This window comes from Homo sapiens, chromosome 2 (assembly GCF_000001405.40).
Source record: "Homo sapiens chromosome 2, GRCh38.p14 Primary Assembly".
NCBI lineage: Eukaryota > Metazoa > Chordata > Mammalia > Primates > Hominidae > Homo > Homo sapiens.
The window spans coordinates 32,602,714-32,622,074 of record NC_000002.12 but is presented as its reverse complement, the minus strand read 5'-3'; the positions used below and the strand labels follow the sequence as shown (position 1 = coordinate 32,622,074).

At 39.6% G+C, this 19,361-nt stretch overlaps 1 protein-coding gene across 50 annotated transcripts in view; it reads right to left on the bottom strand.

Annotated features, from left to right (window-relative positions):
- Window positions 1-3,196: 3,196 nt before the first annotated feature.
- BIRC6 (baculoviral IAP repeat containing 6) overlaps window positions 3,197-19,361 on the bottom strand; it is a 261,856-nt gene continuing 245,691 nt past the window's right edge. For all 50 annotated transcript variants that reach the window (XM_006712055.4, XM_005264451.5, XM_047445167.1 and 47 more), the window contains 4 exons: window positions 18,992-19,069; window positions 14,432-14,620; window positions 10,493-10,627; window positions 3,197-4,350 (listed from right to left, as the gene is read on the bottom strand). In XM_006712055.4, coding sequence (XP_006712118.1) covers window positions 4,171-4,350; window positions 10,493-10,627; window positions 14,432-14,620; window positions 18,992-19,069 — 582 coding nt within the window. In that variant the 3' untranslated portion in view covers window positions 3,197-4,170. The remainder of the gene's footprint in view (window positions 4,351-10,492; window positions 10,628-14,431; window positions 14,621-18,991; window positions 19,070-19,361) is intronic.

The window sequence follows — 19,361 nt, the reverse complement described above, 5'->3', positions numbered from 1 at the left end:
ATCTTCCATCCACATGTGGACTCTGGCTTGTCACCACCATACCTGCCTCTGCAGGGTGCGAGATGGGAAGCAGCTCAAGCCTGTTGCAATTCAGTTGCAGCGAAGCCTGTAACAATACCAAAAATCAATCTCAGTTAGAAAATATATAGCCTTTTTTTTGCCTTTGCATAGGGAATAACTTCAAAGGAATAAAATGCAATTAAAATCAGAAAGGAACAGATCAATAGATGACTTCACGATTTAAATTTTTTTTTTTTGAGACGGAGTCTCGCTCTGTCACCAGGCTGGAGTGCAGTGGTGCGATCTGGGCTCACTGCAACCTCTGCCTCCTGGGTTCAAGCAAATCTCCTGCCTCAGCCTCCCAAGTAGCTGGGACTACAGGCGCCTGCCACCACGCCCAGCTAATTTTTGTGTTTTTAGTAGAGATGGGGTTTCACCATGTTGGCCAGGATGGTATCGATCTCTTGACCTCATGATCCACCCACCTCAGCCTCCCAAAGTGCTGGGATTACAGGAGTGAGCCATTGCACCCGGCCGGCCCCACAATTTAAAACTTCTATGAGAAAAATTAAACAAAAATTAAAAGGCCATCTGGACAAATACACAGAAGTTTGACAAAAACTAATATTCTACTATAAGTAGCTGATACATACTAAAAGACTCTAAGAAAATACACAAAATAGGGAAAAGGTATAAACTGGTAACTGACAAAAGTAGAAATTCAAATGGGTAATATAAACAATGTTCAATGCACATTAAAACATGTTTGATGATAATAAAATATCAGATCAAAAAATTATATAATCTCCAATGCTGGCCAACGCATGACAACACTAAAAGATTTTCCAAGTGTGAATCAGTACCTCTCAGGAAAGCGGTCATTATATATCAAAACCTTTGACCTAGGAATTCTACTTCTAGGATTTATCATAAGAAAATAAAGATAAGACCATGCTCATCACAGCATTAGTTATAATCAGAAAAGCAGAGACAAAAGCAATTCCAAACTGTCCAACAGTAAGAGATGGGTTAAAAACATCCATTAATTTTCTTTTTAAGACACGGTCTTGCTGTTGCCCACAGTGGAGTGCAGTCACGTGATCTAGGCTCACTACAGCCTCCATGTCCTGGGCTCAAGCAATCCTCCCACCTCAGCCTCCCGAGTAGCTGGGACCACAGGCATGTGCCACCATGCCCAGCTAATTTTGCTATTTTTTGTAGAGACGGGGTTTTGCCATGTTGCCCAGGCTGGTCTCAAACTCCTGAGTTCAAGCAATCATTCCGCCTCAGCCTCCCAAAGTGCTGGGATTACAGGTGTGGGCCATCATGCCCAGCCTACAGTACATTTTACATTTGTCTGACTTTGGAGATTTTTGTCTTAATGCTAGGAAAGTATTTAAGCAGTTTTACTTTTTGTTTTTTTACTGTTCATTAAGATAAAAACTTTATATAGTTAAAAGTTTCACAAATAGACCAATTCACTTTACTGATTTTCACATCTCTTCAAGTTCTCCGCATGTGCTCTTGGACCCAGGTCATTTATGTCTGTTAGGCTTTGCTCCATCCTTCCCCAAGGACTTCTCCCCTGGCTCCCTAGCCTGAAAACATGCTAAAGTTATTCTCCTAACAAATATATGTATTTCCCAAAGTCCTGTCAATTGTCTCTTAATCTCCACAGTTTATGTGCCCTAGTTTATGACCTATTGCTTGGATGTGAGCAGGCTTTTAACTGATCTCCTCGCTTCTCAACAGGTTGCAGAATGATCTTCCTGAAATAGACTAATCAGGTTACTTCCTTAGAGCTACTTGTGAGCTCTCCTTTACCTACAGGAAGTCAAAGTTCCTTAACAGGGCAAGCAAAGGCCTGGGATGAACTGACCCCTCCTCTCTTTCCAAAACCACTGCCTCCCATCCCTTTTGACTATCCTCACTTTGCCTGTTAAAAATCCAGTAACATCCAATATGGTGCCATCAACCTGAGCTCTCCTTTTGCTCTCCTGTGTCTGGATTATCTTGTTTCTGCCTGGCTAACTTCTTTATCCTCATCCTTCAAGAATTAGTCTGCACTTAGAAAGCTTTTCCAGACCATTATCACCTCAGTGCCCACCCAACGTTTTGCCTGAGATAAGGATTCTCCTCTGTGCTCCCAATATTACCCTGTAAATAACTCTACCAGAGACCTTACCAGATGGCACTGACATGTTTTCATGTCTGTCATTCACTCCTCAAGTGCAGGAACTTGGAACTAGTAAAAAATGAGTGCTCAAATGTTTGTTGACATAAAGTCTGGATCTCAAATGGAATGTTTTAATGTAATTGGTTCCAATTTAGGTGTTTAGACTTTGGTTTTTAAAAAATATGAACTGGACCTTATAGTACTGGTATTGTTACTTTCATTTTACATGGAAGACAAACAATACATTTGATACAGCTTTTATCATCCAGCACTCACAGTCCAAAAACAAACAAAAACAACAAAAAATAGCCTAAAGGATTAATGACTGTCCTTTATTATTGCTGATAATTTTATACTTAGATTTTAGCTGGCATGTCTGTGGGTGACATAATTTTTTTCTTCTTGTAAACTACCACTATTTTGTCATTTTCGGTGTAGCTCACTACCCACCAGACCTAACACTATGTGTTTTAGAATCTTTGATTTCCTGTCCAAATACTATTCGTTTCTCCTTTTTCCATGCTGAAGGAGCTTTATACTTTGTACATAAGAGAGTATCATTTCCCCAAGATCCCCTTTTTCATCAGAGAGCAACTCGCCTTTCAGAATACGGCTTCTCCTGGTCAGCTCCAGATTCAGGCGTCAGCTCCAGTTCCTGCCTCAGCCTCCTGAGTAGCTGGGATTACAGGCACCTACCACCATGCCTGGCTAATTTTTGTATTTTTATAGAGACATGATTTCATCGCATTGGCCAGGCTTGTCTCGAACTCCTGACATCAGGAGACCCGCCTGCCTTGGCCTCCCAAAGTGCTGGGATTACAGGCGTGAGCCACCGCGCACAGCCGCCACTTTTATTTTATAAAAATACTGTCAAAGAATCACCTTAGCCTTTCCCCTGCGGCAACTGGTCTTGGAAAAACATGCTTTGTTTTCCCATGCTTAAGTCTTGAAAGTGTTCAATTCTTTATAGAAATAGCATTTCACACCATGGCAAAGGGGTTTAGAAACAAGACATACTAATTCACCTAAGTCTTTATTTATTTGGCTCTAGGAAGAATTTGCATGAAAATGAGCCTGTATGGCAGGTACAGAATGTACTGTAACAGCACCAGAGAGGTACATCCTCTCTCCTCTACAGAGCCTCAATGTTTAATACATACATGTGACTTTAGTCATAAAACCACATAGTCCAGGAAAAAAGGAGCCCTTTAGAAAAAAAAAATCAGTTTAGAATGACTTTCAAATTGACCATTCCTTTTCAAATACTTAAATTCAAATAACAGATACATTCAGAGGCCCAAATGTTGGCATAGAATAAAATCATGTTCATTTATTTTTTTCTGCATCTTAGAATTAGAAGGCATAAAATTAAATATGTTGAATGTAATAAATTCATCCATACAAGTGCAAGTCTCCAGATATAATGCATTTTATGGCAGATTTATTATTTTAAAAATGTACCAGTAAATCAAAAAAGAGGGAGTATGTCCATTTAACTTTTATTGAAGTGTATGTAGGAGGTCTTCAGAAATCAAATGTGAGCATGAAGATATGGCCAAACATAAAATCTATCAAATTCAGTGAAAAGTTGCTGACTTTAAATAGTAGTTGTAAGAATGACCAATATATATTCTTTGTTAACAACCCCTCACTCTATAGTAAAAAAAAAATAAAATAAAATAAACATTCAGTAAACATTCTTTCCTAAGGTAGTTTCCCTTATATAGCAGTGATTTATCCATTTCTTTGTATACACAAATTTGTTGAACATACCAATCAGTGGTTCTCACAATTGAAAAATAAAAGCACAAAAAAGTTTACACTCCTGTACAGGTAAATAAAAGATCACCTTGAATTAAACTGGATCTCCTTAAGGGCATAGTATAGTTTCAGTTTCATTACCTATTACATAATTAGTTTCTTACATACAAATATTGACATATTTGGCTTGTGCTTCGAAGCCTTTGTGTCTATGAAGTCCACATCAATGCAGCTCATAACTGGAAGTCACTGGGGAGTTCTTTGCTGCTGCTGGGTTTAACCTGATCATGCATTAGAGTCTCCTCAGCACCTGTTGTGGCTCTGCACACCTCTGGGGCATCGTCAGTGTCAGGATCCAAGCCTTCAGGGCAGGGAAGTTTCAGCAACTCTTCGCGGAGCTGAGCAGTGTGACGCTATGCAGGAGAAAAGGACTAATGTTAGAACTGCAAACCCTCTAGCACAACATCATTTGAGGCAGGAACTGAATTTCAACAAAGCCCAAAGCATTAAGCCTACAAATATTTACTGAGCCCCTCCTTATGCAAGCTACTGTTACAGGCACTTGATATAGTAGGTAAGCAAAACTGACAAGAATCCTTAACCTCAAAGTAACCGATGTTGCTGAAAAGACCTCAGTAACCCACCAGTAGATCCTACCCATGCTGCCAAGCTGTCACAGAAACAGCATTACTGACAATTTAAAGGACATTATTAGATACATATACTCTTTTTTTTTTGAGACGGAGTCTCGCTCTGTTGCCCAGGCTGGAGTGCACTGGCGCGATCTCAGCTCATTGCAACCTCCGCCTCCCGGGTTCAAGTGATTCTTCTGCCTCAGCCTTCTGAGTAGCTGGGAGTACAGGTGGGCGCCACCACAACCAGCTAATTTTTTGTATTTTTAGTAGAGATGGGGTTTCACTATGTTGGCCAGGCTGGTCTTGATCTCTTGACTGTCATCCACCTGCCTCGGCCTCCCAAAGTGCTGGGATTACAGGCGTGAGCCAATGCACCCGGCCTACATACATATATTCTCTTATTTTGTTTTAAGATAGCTCTGCTTTGTCATCCAGGCTGGAGAGCAGCGGCACAATCACAGCTCATGCAGCCTCAACCTCCTGGGCTTAAGCAATCCTCCCACCTCAGCCTCCCAAGTAGTTGGGACTACAGGAATGAAGCACCATGCCTAGCTAATTTTTTACACAGATGGGGTTTCGCCATTTTGCCCAAGCTGGTCTCAAACTCCTGGTCCAAGCGATCCACCTGCCTTGGCCTCCCAAAGAGCTGGGATTGCAGGTGTGAGCCACTGTGCCCAGCCTATACACTCTTTCAAATTAAACACCGTAATCCCTTGATTTGTCATACATGCTGACTCTGGCTAAACGTTTTTGAGAGAAAGACAAATCCGTAAATTAAAATAAATCCACTGATACTTTAGCGAATGAAAAAAATATTTATCAGGTAGTAGGCCATATGTAAAATGTCTGCAAATGTTCACACTAATTTTCCCACTTAATGCTCAGAATAAACCTTAGAAATAATTGTATCATTAGAATTTTTTTTTTTTTTTTTTTTTTTTTGAGAACAAGGTCTCACTGTGTCACCCAGGCTAGAGTGCAGAGGCACAATCTCGGCTCACTGCAAACTCCACCTCCCAGACGCAAGCAATTCTCATGCCTCAGCCTCCCGAGCAACTGCTATTACAGGCATGCACCACCATGCCCAGTTAATTTTTTTGTGTTTTTGGTAGAGACGGGGTTTTGCCTTCTTGGCCAGGCTGGTCTCGAACTCCTAATCTCAAGCAATCCACCTGCCTTGGACTCCCAAAGTGCTGGGATTACAGGTGTGAATCTGTACCCAGATTCACCCAGCCTATAGAACTGCACCCAGCCTATCATTAGAACTTTTTAAAAAATTAAGTTAAAAAGAAGATCATAGAATTTTAAAAAATTAAGTTAAAAAGATCATAGAAGAACAAAGAACTGCACCCAGCCTATCATTAGAACTTTTTACAAAATTGAGTTAAAAAGAAGATCTATAGAGATTAAATAAACTTTGCTTTGCTCTATATTGCAGTTTACGTAAGGATATAGGCATGTTAATTGGGAGTGGCTGGTTGTCTAACACATGCAAAGATTTGGTTCATAATTTTCTGGTGAGAGAGAAATGACCTTAAATAATCACACCAAAGGCTTTTAAAATTGTGTCGGCCGGGTCTGATGCCTCACGCCTGTAATCCCAGCACTTTCGGAGGCCATGGCGGGCAGATCACGAGGTCAAAAGATCGAGACCATCCTGGCCAACATGGTGAAACCCCGTCTCTACAAAAAATACAAAAATTAGCTGGGTGTGGTGGTGTGTGCCTGTAGTCCCAGGTACTTGGGAGGCTGAGGCAGGAGCATCGCTTGAACCAGGGAGGCAGAGGTTCCAGTGAGCTGAGATCGCACAGCACTGCACTCCAGCCTGGCAGCAGAGCGAGACTCCATCTCAAAAATAAAATAAAATAAAATAAATAAAAACTAAATAGTGTCAACAGCTGACTTTGAAAATTAAACAACATTTATTTACAGAACAATTTTTATGTATGAGGCACTGTGTTAAATACCAACAACATAAAGGCAATGAGTAGAATGAGGATAAAATCTTTAAGCTTATGGAGTCTAAAATTCTGGCTGAAATTATAAGACACATAAATAGGAAAAAACAACTCTACCTTGCAGCTATTTGCAAAGTTTCAAAGCACATTTACATGCCGGTAAGTGAGAATTTCCCTAGCCTTGATTTTCCTTCCACTGTGGACAACAGGTGAAATCACTAACCAGGGAAGGAGAAAGAAAAATCTGGCAATCATGAGAACTGAGTTAAGGTTGGGGATTGATCTAGTTTGGATATTTGTCCCTGCCCAAATCTCATGTTGAAATGTAATCCCTGTGTTGGAGGTGAGAGAAATGGGGATCATGGGGACAGTTTCCTCATGGATTGGTGCTGTCCTGAGATAGTGAGTGAATTATCACGAGATCGGGTTGTTGTAAAGTGTGGCACCTCCCACACCCCTACGCCTTCGTGATTCCGCTTCATCTTCCACCATGAGTATAAGGTCCTTGAGGCCTCTACAGAAGCAGAGTAAATGCCAGTTCCATGCTTCCTGTACAGCCTACAGAACCATGGGCCCATTGAATGTCTTTTTGTTATAAATTACCCAGTCTCAAGGATTTCTTTATAGCAAAGAAAGAACAGCCTAATACAGGGATACTATGATTTTATTGTGGAGTCAAGCTAAACAACTACATACTTTTCATTTATTTTTTAAGACAGAATTTTACACTCGTTGCCCAGGCTGGAGAGCAATGGCGCAATCTCAGCTCACTGCAACCTCCACCTCCCGGGTTCAGGCGATTTTCCTGCCTCAGCCTCCCCAGCAGCTGGGACTACAGGCATGAGCCACCACACTTGACTAATTTTTGTATTTTCTTTTAATAGAGTTGGGGTTTCACCATGTTGGCCAGGCTGGTCTTGAACTCCTGACCACAAGTGATCTGCCCGCCTTGGCCTCCCAAAGTGTTGGGATTATAGGCGTGAGTCACTGCGCCTGGCCAATTGTGTATTTTTCTTGTGTAGCACTCAACAGCAAATGTACAGTTAAAATGATATAAATTTGGATTAATTCAGAGATGGAAAATTCCAGGTGACAGTGACACAGAAGAAATAAAGGAATGCGGATATAAGCAAGACACTGAATGAAAAGAAGCTGGACTTGAGCCAGTTTTGTGTAAGTGAAAAACATATCTAAATACATATTTGGGGAAGATCAGCCTGGTAATGCACTAAAGAAGGAACTGAAAGGGGGAGAACCTGGTACAAGGAAGCTGGACAAACAGACAAAGCTGTGGGAACTCAACAGAAATCATGGGTTGGGGAGAGGACAGTCCCCTCATGAAGTAATACTGACAGGACCTAGTACTGACCAGGGGTGCTGGATGAAGGATGAGATACATAATACTTGAAGATTCTAAGACAGAGAAAAATGGTTTAAAATCAAGTAAAATTAAGTAAATAGAAAGCTAGAAAACTTGATTTGAGGAAAATCTCCTTTAAGGAGATGATGACAGGGTATCTATGTAAAAAATGTCAGTAATACAACTCAAGAGAAAGCTAACAGCTGACAACAGTTTGAAGTGTCACTTTTAGAGAGTAAATGGCCAAAGTCAGGGTTACAGACACAATGAAGGAAAAACAGAAAGACAGAAAAAAAATAGTTCTGAAGGCCAAAAAGTAAGCCTTCAGGTAAACAATTGCTCAGGAAAAAAGAAAAAGGAAAACACACTGAAAGAATTAAGAAGAGTATAAGCAGAAAAGCCAAGATAGTCTACAGATGAAAAGTATAGTACAAAAGACAAACATTAGACAAATGTTATGAGTGTTTTAACAGGTAGACGCAGAGGGTTAGAAATGCTTATACTGAAATGATCTAATAGTCTATCAGTCAGGCGGGGCGCGGTGGCTCACTTGAGGTCAGGAGTTCAAGACCAGCCTGGAGTTCGAGACCAGCCTGGCCAACATGGTGAAACCCCGTCTCTACTAAAAATGCAAAAATTAGCTGGGCATGATGGCAGGTGACTGTAATCCCAGATACTCAGGAGGCTGAGGCAGGAGAATAGCTTGAACCCAGGAGGTTAAGGCTGCAGTGAGCTGAGATCAAGCCACTGCACTCCAGGCTGAGCAACAGAGCAAGATTACATCTAAAATAAATAAATAAATAAAATAAATAATGAAAATAAAAATACAAAAGTTAGCCAGGTCTGGTGGCAGATGCCTGTAATCCCAGCTACTCAGGAGGCTGAGGCAGATAAATCACTTGAACAAGGGAGGCGGAAGATGCAGTGAGCCAAGATCATGCCTGAGTGGCAGAGAGAGACAGTGTCTCAGAAACAAACAAACAAACAAACAAACAAACCAGTCAAGGCAGGGTTCCATGAAGTGAAATTTAAGCTGAAATATGAATGGAGGTGAGCAAGCAGAAGAGCTGAAAAGTAGAGGAAAATGGAAACCATGTGTAAAGGCCTGGAGGAGGGAGAGCAGATGAAGTGAATGGAGAAGTGAGCCAGGGTCACTGGCGTTGAGAACTGGAGAGATGGTAACTTTGGTAAAATAGAAGTCAAACTGCATAAGGTTGATTAGTGAGACAAAGGTTAAAAAATGGAGGCAAGAAGTGTCAACTGCTATAGTCTGACGGTGAAAGAAGACAATCTGTTTCATAATAATAGGGGCAAAATAGAACTAGCTTAGGGAAATTTTCTGCAAGTGTTTTTCTCTCTTTTTCAAAACATTTTTATAGTGAAAAAATTCAAACATATGCAGAAGTGGGCAGAAGAGTACAATGAAGTCCCATGAATCTATCACACAGCTTCAACCATTATCAACTCATGGCCCATCTTCTTTCATCTATATTCCCACACTTTCCCCTTGTCATTTTATTTTGAAGTAATTCCCAGACATCATACACTTTGTCATTCACAAATATTTCTGTACATGTCCTGAAAAGATAGGGATCTTTTTAAAAATCACACCTAAAAAACTAACAAATCCTTATCATCAACTAGTTGTTTGAAGTGAAGACAGCTTTAAAGTTAGAAGATAACAAGCCAGTAGAAATGGAAAAACCTGAAGATAGAAAAGGGAGGATATTGGTGGAGGATGAAATGAGTAAAGACATTCAGATGCAGGAAAAAAGGAAGGCTGTTACAAAGAAAGATCTCCGTGGGTAGACAGAAAATCTTCCAAACCAATCACATTTCACATTTCCATTCTATGAACGTCCAAACTGAAAACAACTGCTTTCTCCCCTAACACAGCCACTGCCACCATCAGCTGAGGGAGAATCTGCAACTCAAATCTCCCTCATCACTCCAAGTAATAAAATTCTGGAAGGCAGGAGGCCTAGGGAAAGACTAAGGGAATAAAAGAAGTCCTTCAAGTCTGGCACGGTTGCTCATGCCTATAATTCCAGTGATTTGGGTGGCTGAGGTGGGAGGATCACTTGAGCCTAGCCTAGGAAACAGGGTGAGACCCCATCTCTACAAAATTGAAAATAAAAAAATTTAACTGGGCACTGTGGCAGCTACCTGTAGTCCTAGCTACATGGGAAGCTGAGGTGGGAGGACTGCTTGAGCCCAGGAGTTCAAGGTTACAGAGAGTCATGATGCCACCACTGCACTCTAGGCTGGGACAACAGAATGAAATCCAGTCTCAAAAGAAAAAAAGAAAAAGGAAAAGGCATTCATGGAGCACATCTTGTCATCATTATCTTCAAGGAACTTTACAAAACTCTGTTGTCTCAGTCCTTGGACCCACTTTTTATTTTAGGAACTGTCAATCTACTACCAAAAAAAAATGTATCTTTTCTATAGACTTCTGAGTAACAATTTATTCCTCTGAACTGAAAATACATATTATGTTTCTTTAATTCCCTCCCTCCCATTATCTTCTGGTAGGCATGGTTCTGTCAATAATTACACAACTCTTAAAGCAACAAGGCTCCTGTTAGAGAGGCTTACTCACCTTGAGAGCTGCTGCATGGTGAGACATAGTCCTGCCTACCCGCTTATCACTGCTGTACTGCTGGATATCCGCAATCCACTCCTCACATTGGGCCATTATCTCAACTCTTTTCAAGTAAAAATGTTTGTGTATTACCTTGAGAAAAAGTAAACAGGAGAACAAGCAGTGTTTACAGTCAAATTTAAAAGACACAGTAAATGACATTACAAAGAAGTAAAATGTATTATAAATACATTTAAATAATTTATTCTATAAATACATTTAAATTAATATTTAGAATATTATTATAAATACATTTAATGAAATAAATATACAGACACTGCAATGTTTTTCTATCCATAAAACTCAATTTGGGAGGCTGAGGCAAGAGAATGGCGTGAACCCGGGAGGTGGAGCTTGCAGTGAGCCAAGGTCGCGCCACTGCACTCCAGCCTGGGCGACAGAGCAAGCCTCCATCTCAAACAAAAAAAAAAAGGCAATTTAATCAACTCTACAATATTAGCAGGGAAAAATCAAGCTCATGATTTGATATGACGTGTTGAAATATATGAAATTTATGGCCCGGTGTGGTGGCTCACGCCTGTAATCCCAGCATTCTGGGAGATCAAGGCAGGCGAATCACAAGGTCAGAACTAAAAATACAAAAATTAGCCAGGCATGGTGGCAGGCACCTGTAGTGCCAGCTACTTGGGAGGCTGAGGCAGGACAATTGCTTGAACCCAGGAGGCAGAGGTTGCAGTGAACTGAGATCCCGCCACTGCACTCCAGCCTGGGCGACAGAGCAAGACTCCATCAAAAAGAAAAGAAAAGAAGAGAGGAGGGGAGGAGAGAAAAGAGAAAACAAATTTATAGCAGAAAAGAGTGTACAATTGTGGTCAGACACTTGGAAAATTAATCCTGTCCAGAGACCACAAGACACATATGATACAATATACTCAGAAGGCAAATGCTAAATAAGTAACCAGGCGAAAAGATTTAAAAAGTATTGACAACAGAGAAATTTCTGCCTTTAAAAGATAACTCAAAGAACACCTAGATAAGTATATTCTAAATGCCAAAGGCATTCACACAGAAATCCCCAGAAATGGCACTATTCTTACTTGCTTAATTTTATCTTCTGTTTAATTTATAGATGGGATTTTATTTTAGGAAGTTAAATTTCCTTATTATTACTGTGATTTACATTTGCGATTTTTAAATTCTATCTTTCAATTCTATCTTTGAAAAACTGAGTAAAATTTCTACCAACATATAGTAGTAAGAGTCTATTTCTGACAAATTTAAATTAGAAAACAATTATCAATTTGGAAACATTGCTCTGTATTCTGGTTGAGCATTGCCCAGGGAGCATGTCTGCCCTAAAGAACAGACAATCAAACCTATAAAGGGAAAATCACTAGAAAGCTCTGGGAATGAATGTCAAACACCAATACGATCCCACCACATTTAATAGTTATTGGGTTTGAAGCCTCTGGGATACAGAAGTAAGTATGACACAGCTTTAAATGAAGAACAGTGGTAACAACAGAATCAGATGGGACGGGAGTGTACCAAAAAAATATATTTTAAAGAACAACAATAAACAAAAGCAAAAAGCCCAGGGCATTCAAAGAGTAGCGAGTGGCATTTGATTAGGAAAACTGGGAAAGCATACATGGCCAAGGAGTGGCCCCTTTAACGCAAGCTAGGTTCTAAAGAATGAGAAAGTTGATTGTCTCAAATTATACATATTTGCTTTTTGTAAAAGTCATCCCCTTCTCTGAGTTCCCTGTGTTTATCCTTCCTGAAAAAAATGATATGCATAAAACAAATTACTTTTTTTTTTTTTTTTTTGAGACAGAGTCTCACCGTGCTGCCCAGGCTGGAGTGCCGTGGCGCGATCTTTGCAAAAGTAAAGTATCCAACTTTGTCATTCAAAGGACACTGGAATATAAATTTACTCAGTAACAGCAAAAGCCAAAGAAAAAGAAATATTCATCAGTGCTATCTGATGAAGGAGGTGGCTTCATAGTATTCATGTAGAACATCTGCATAGTTATATTAAAGATCAATTTTATATCAGGTAAATATACCATTTTTTCCTCTAAAATGTTAACTTTCCAGCACAATTTAAGAAATTAATGATCAAGTGAAACAATTTTAAGAAAGAAAAATGTTTCTGGACACAATCACAGCAAGTTGTGATGCTAACGTCATTTGATATGGCAGGTGAAAAGTATAATTCTATTTAGGTATACTATGGAGAGACAACTAATCACAGGCAAAAAGCTACACACACACACACACACACACACACAGAGCCACACTTCAGGATGACGTGAAAAAAACCACTTCAGTGTATTAATACAGGTTTTGGAAACTCATATCATCCAATTTTTTTCCTAAAGAAAAGGAAACGTGGCCAGGCGCAGTGGCTCACGCCTGTAATTCCAACAGTCTGGAAGGCCGAGGCGGGCGGATCACCTGAGGTCAGGCATTCGAGACCAGCCTGGCCAACATGGTGAAAACTGGCCTCTACTAAAAAATACAAAAAAAATTAGCCAGTTGCGGTGGTATGCGCACACAGTCCCAGCTACTCGGGAGGCTGAGGCATGAGAATCACTTGAACCGGGGAGGCGGAGGGTGCAGTAAGCCGAGATTCCGCCACTGTATTCCAGCACAGGCAACAGAGCCAAGTCCTATCTCAAAAAAATAAAAAAAAGAAATGGCATTCTCCTTATATATACACATTAGAATAAGGGCAAAATTTCTATTTGCAAGACAACTTTAGAAACCATCTTCAATAAAAAACAGTTCAATGAGAAATATATCAGAAACATATTTAGAGAGTTTGCTAGTAGAAGGGTAACTAATAAAAATAAAGAATAGGCCGGGGCGGTGGCTCACGCTTGTAATCCCAGCACTTTGGGAGGCCAAGGCAGGTGGATCACCTGAGGTCAGGAGTTCAAGATCAGCCTGGCCAACATGGTGAAACCCCGTCTCTACTAAAAATACAAAAAAATTAGCCAGGCGTGGTGCCACATGCCCGTAATCCCAGCTACTTGGGAGGCTGAGGCAGGAGAATAGCTTGAACTTGGGAGGTGGAGGTTGCAGTGAGCCAAGATCATGCCATTGCACTCCAGCCTGGGCAACGAGAACGAAACGGGATGGGACAGGAGGAAAGGAAAGGAGAGCAGAGGGAGAGGAGAGGAAAAGGAAAGGAAAGGAAAAAAACTTCTCAAAAATTTAGTCAGATGTCTTTTAGAATATAGATAGTTTTATACTTCATCTGTACTATCTACTACCATTTTTTTTTTTTCTGAGACTCTGTCACCTAGGCTGGAGTGCAGTCATGTGAACACAGCTTACTGCAGCCTCAAACTCGTGGGCTCAGGCAAACCTCCTGCCTTAGCCCACTGAGTATCTAAGACTACAGGTGCCACCATGCCCAGCTAAATTTTTAAACTTTTTGCAGAGATGGGGTCTTGCTATATTGTCCAGACTTATTAATGATCTTTGGGATTAACTCTAAAACCTGCAGTTTCATATACTAGATACATATAAAGGCAAATAGAATACTAACAAACTATATTTTAAAATGTCTTTTTTTTTTTTTTTTTTTTTTTTTGGAGATGGAGTCTTGCTCTGCTGTCACCCAGGCTGGAGTGCAGTGGTGCAGTCTCAGCTCTCTGCAACTTCCGCCTCCCAGGTTCAACCTCACGTTCCAAGTAGCTGAGATTACAGGCGCCTGCCACCATGCCTGGCTAATTTATCTTTTTCTTTTTTTAAGTAGAAATGCGGTTTCGCCATATTGGCCAGGCTGGTCTCAGACTCCTGACCTGAAGTGATCCACCTGCCTTGACCTCCCAAAGTGCTGAGATTACAGGCATGAGCCACCATGCCCAGCCTATATTGTAAAATGTCTTTAACAAAGTATTTCACTAATTTTATTGAACATACCTCTTTAAAACATGGTGAAGGGTTTCTGATTTGTTCTAGCATTGCCCACTTAACTGTTGCTTGTCGAATGTTTCCATCATATTCTCGAGAACTCTGTGTGCCACTGGGAGTGCCTCTAGACCGTTCATATCCCGGTTCATTAAAATAAGGCTCAGCTACTAATATAAGGGACTGGACAGACACCAACACCTAAAGAATAAAGGAAAAGAACAGCTATGATGGGACATTTTTACTGTGGGTTAACTGATATCCTGCTTTATCCACAAAGACTCTTCTTTAATATGTGTTTCCACAAATTTCTATCACAATAAAATCAATGTTTATGATTATAACATTGAAATATTTCATTATAAAGGCAAAATAAAATTAGGCACAATAGAGCCATAAGTAATACTTACACATCTGTTTTTACTCTTGAATTCTTGAATAATAATAGATATGAAGATAGATGATAATAATAATAATAGATATGAAGAATCTATTTCCAAAAAATGCTAAAAAAATTTCGTTTTTTTAGTTTAGTTTATTTTTTTTTTAGTTGTTTTATGAGTTTAAACAACTCATAGCAACATTCTGCTCAAACTGTTCTTAAGGAGCATAAAACTAGCCATGTACTATTTTTTTTTTTTTTTTAATAAGACTGAGTTTCACTCTTGTCACCCAGGCTGGAGTGCAATGGCATGATCTTGGCTCCCTGCAACCTCCGCCTCCCAGATTCAAGCGATTCTCCTGTCTCAGCCTCCCGAGAATCTGGGATTACAGATGCCTGCCACCACGCCAGACTAATTTCTGTATTTTTTAGTAGAGATGGGGTTTCATCATGTTGGCCAGGCTGGTTTTGAACTCCTGACTTCAGGTGATCTGCCTGCCTCGGCCTCCCAAAGTGCTGGGATTACAGGCGTCAGCCACTGTGCCTGGCCTAGCCATGCACTCTTAACAATACTCACTTATAAAAAAACTATGCCTGAGACCATTTTAAATTTTTATTCCAAGGACAATTAACTGCTACAGTATCACAAAAACCTTATTAGAAATTCTTATTTATTTCTTTGAGATGGAGTCTTGCTCTGTTGCCCAGGCTGCAGTGCAATGGTACAATCTTGGTTCATTGCAACCTCCGTCTCCTGGGTCCAAGTGATTCTCCTTCCTCAGCCTCTCAAGTAGCTAGGACTATAGGCGTGCATCACCAAGCAGGGCTAATTTTTTTTTTTAATTTTTAGTAGAGACGGGGTTTTGCCATGTTGGCCAGGCTGGTCTCGAACTTCTGACCTCAGGTGATCTGCCCACCTTGGCCTCCCAAAGTGCTGAGATTACAGGTCTGAGCCATCATACCCGGCCAGAAATTCTGATTGACAAGATGGTCTTATGGTCTAAGACCACTTCCAAACCACCACTTATTTACTAGAAGGCTTGTCCCAGATGTAACATATATTAAGAGAGGTGATTTCTAGCGAATACAGTACTTCCAGTTAATGTATCTATAGAAGTCAATAAAGTAACATCTTTGAAGGCAGGAAAACATCAGATATTATCTACGCAATTCATAAATGAAAAAGAACAGCAATTACACTTTTGTTGGGCACAACGATTAAACAGTCCCATGGATATGCATCTTATAAGTCAAAGTTAAAGAGAACTTTAAAAATGAGTACTCGAAAGTAACGTATTTGACCCAAAATAGAAAGTGACCATACTGATGCCAAGCTCAACTATGGGAAAAACTTTAATTCATATTATTTCTGAGATAAAGATCTCATATTTTTAATTTTTATTTATTTATTTTTTTGAGACAGTGTCTTGCTCTGTTGCCCAGGCTGGAGTGCAGTGGTGCGATCTCAGCTCACTGCAACCTCTGCCTCCCGGGTTCAAGCAATTCTTCTGCCTCAGCCTCCCAAGTAGCTGGGGTTACAGGTGCCCGTGACCCCATCCCGCTAATTTTTGTATTTTTAGTAGAGATGGGGTATCTCCATATTGGCCAGTCTGTTCTTGAACTCCAGGCCTCAAGTGATCTGCCTGCCTCCCAAAGTGCTGAAATTACAGGCAAGAGTCACCTCGCCCGGCCAGACATCTCACATTTACTGACACTTCTGAGGTAAGTTTCAAAGGCATAGTTATTAGTTACTGTCCTCTTCCCTCTTAAATAATTGTCCTCTTCTGTTAATATAAGTAGGGTATAATTGCATTTTTGTACAAAAGCACAGAAAGAAATTAAATATTCATTACAAATTTATAAAAAAGGACTCTTTTATTTATTTAACCTCATCTCCTTTGAGACACAATATGGTTTTATAGATCTCAGTCAGTTATAACAATTTAAAAATTACTTTAGATTCACGGCGTATTTTGTTTAAAACAGCAAAGCAAAGCCCACTAAAGGAAGCATAAAATATTTTGCAGACGCTGGGGCCTATTTGATGGTGAAACGTGGGAGGAGGGAAAAGATCAGAAAAAAATAACTACTGGCTGGGCACGTTGGCTAACGCCTGTAATCCTAACACTTTGGGAGGCTGAGGCAGACAGATCACTTGAGATCAGGGGCTCGAGGCCATCCTGGTCAACATGGTGAAACCCTGTCTCTACTAAAAATACAAAAATTAGCCGGGTGTGGTGGTGCATGTCTGTGATCTCAGCTACTCAGGAGGCTAAGGTGGAAACACAGCTTGAACCCGAGACGCAGAGGTTGTAGTAAGCCAAGGTTGTGCCCAGCCTGGGCCACAGAGTGAGACCCTGTCTCAAAAAAAAAAAAAAGAAAAGAAAAGAAAAAGAAAAAAGAAAAAAGAAAAAAATAACTATTGCATACTACGCTTAGTACCAGAGTGACAAAATAATCTGTATAGCAAACCCTTGTGACGTGAGTTTACCTATATAACAAACCTGCAGTGGAACCCCTGAACCTAACATAAAAGTTAAACAAAAAAGAATGAGTGTTTTGTGTACCAGAAAAAAGGAACAAAAAATTACATCTGAGAAATAAATGTGGCTATAATTTATTGTCTGCTGAGAGAAAAATATAAAGTTTGTATTTGATAAGAATAACAACAAAAGATTATCAGAGATCAATACTTCCTGCAATTAAATTCAAAAAATACTTTATGACATGGGTTATCTTACCACTGGGTGGCCCAGCAGACATTACCTTTTTGGAAGAGTATAAATGCCACTTTATTTTTCAATAGTGAACTTAGCTATTTAATAGCTATAATACATATTTTAGGGAATTTCTGGACCACTGGATTGTCTGAACTGGACACAGTCATTTTAATGCACACTACATTTTACTGTAGGCCGGAAATAAGCAGAGAAACAGTAAACCCTTGGCATGAAGGATTTCCTCTTTTAAAAAAATCTGATTTTCAGTATTATAAAATAAAACTTTAGGCCTGAGAAACAGTGTACAATATTTGAAGTCATAGGGATCACAGTAAAGTTATCTGTACATTTAGAACCTATATTTTCATCATCTGTAAAAGGGGCATAAGATCTACTTGTGTTACAGGATGAATGAGAGAATTACATAACTTTATAATATAGAACAAAATCAATTCTACACTAAAAATAATTTCTATAAATATATTAGAGGCATGCAAAAAAGCAGCCAGCATGAACTGTCTGATCAACAGAACGTCACTTAAAAAGCTATTTGGATCAAACCAAAAAGTAGTATTTATTTTACTTATACCAAGCTAAAGTGTTTTCTTAGAATCTGAGTTAAAAATCAATTGGTAATTAACATAAAAACATACAGTATATATGATATATATATACATATATTTATATTGATGTAATAATAAATATTTATTTTTAATCCATAATGTAGGCTCATGATTTGAGTCAATTTGTTGATATTTTCAGAGTAAAGACTTTTATTCACAGGCCAAATTTACTGTCCCTTTCGTTTTTATTTATTGATTTTTATTTTTTAGATAGAGTCTCCCTCTGTCACCCAGGCTAGAGTGTAGTGCCGTGATCTCGGCTCACTGCAATCTCCTCCTCCGGGGTTCCAGCGATTCTCCTACCTCAGAGGCGCCTCCTAGTAGCTGGGATTATAGGCACGCACCACCTCGTCCGGCTAATTGTATTTTGTATTTTTAGTAGAGATGCGGGTCTTACCACGTTGGCCAAGCTGGTCTCGAACTCCTGACCTCAAATGATCCACCCATCTCAGCCTCCCAAAGTGCTGTGCCAACACACCTGTGCCCCCTCTCCTTTTCAGCTTCATGTTAGCATCTGCACAACTGTAAGAGGCTCTCATAATCTGTTCAGGAACAGAAATCAAGAAACACAGGTAACGGTGGGCACTGCGCCTGGCCTGGAATTTTTTTTGATGGGAGTTTTGGCTAAACTCAATTTTTGTTTTATGCCCCAACTTGAGATTTTAGATTACACATAAGATGAGACTCCATTATGCTAACTTCTCACCTATAAGCTATTTAATATGCATTTCCTAGTAATCTATCTTTTTTTAGGTTTACTATATTTATTCTTGGTCACTAAAAATTTTTTAAAATACTACACAGTTCTTTATTTCTTAAGTGAAAATGTCAGAGAAATTTTGTTTACTTGCAAAAAGCTTGAGGTCTGAGGATTCCACTTCTCTTCTGGTCTTCCATGCCACGTGTTTAAGATGCTTAAACAAACCTGACGAACGAAAAAAGCATAAACAGAATTGAAAAAAGAGTGCTTAAAAACAAACTGTCATAACGAGAAGTAAAAACAAAATGCTATCCTGTCAAAATATCTCAGTTTTATATGTCCCCTAGATAAAACCCTAAGGGTTGTCTGTTAAAACAAATTGGCATCTTCAGATGTGATTCAAATTTGTGAGGCATTATAACTTTTTCATAATGCAAAACAGACCAGCACCTATTATATGTCAACACAAATAACATTTTAATGAAAACTAAATTATTTAAAAAGCAAAACATTTTTA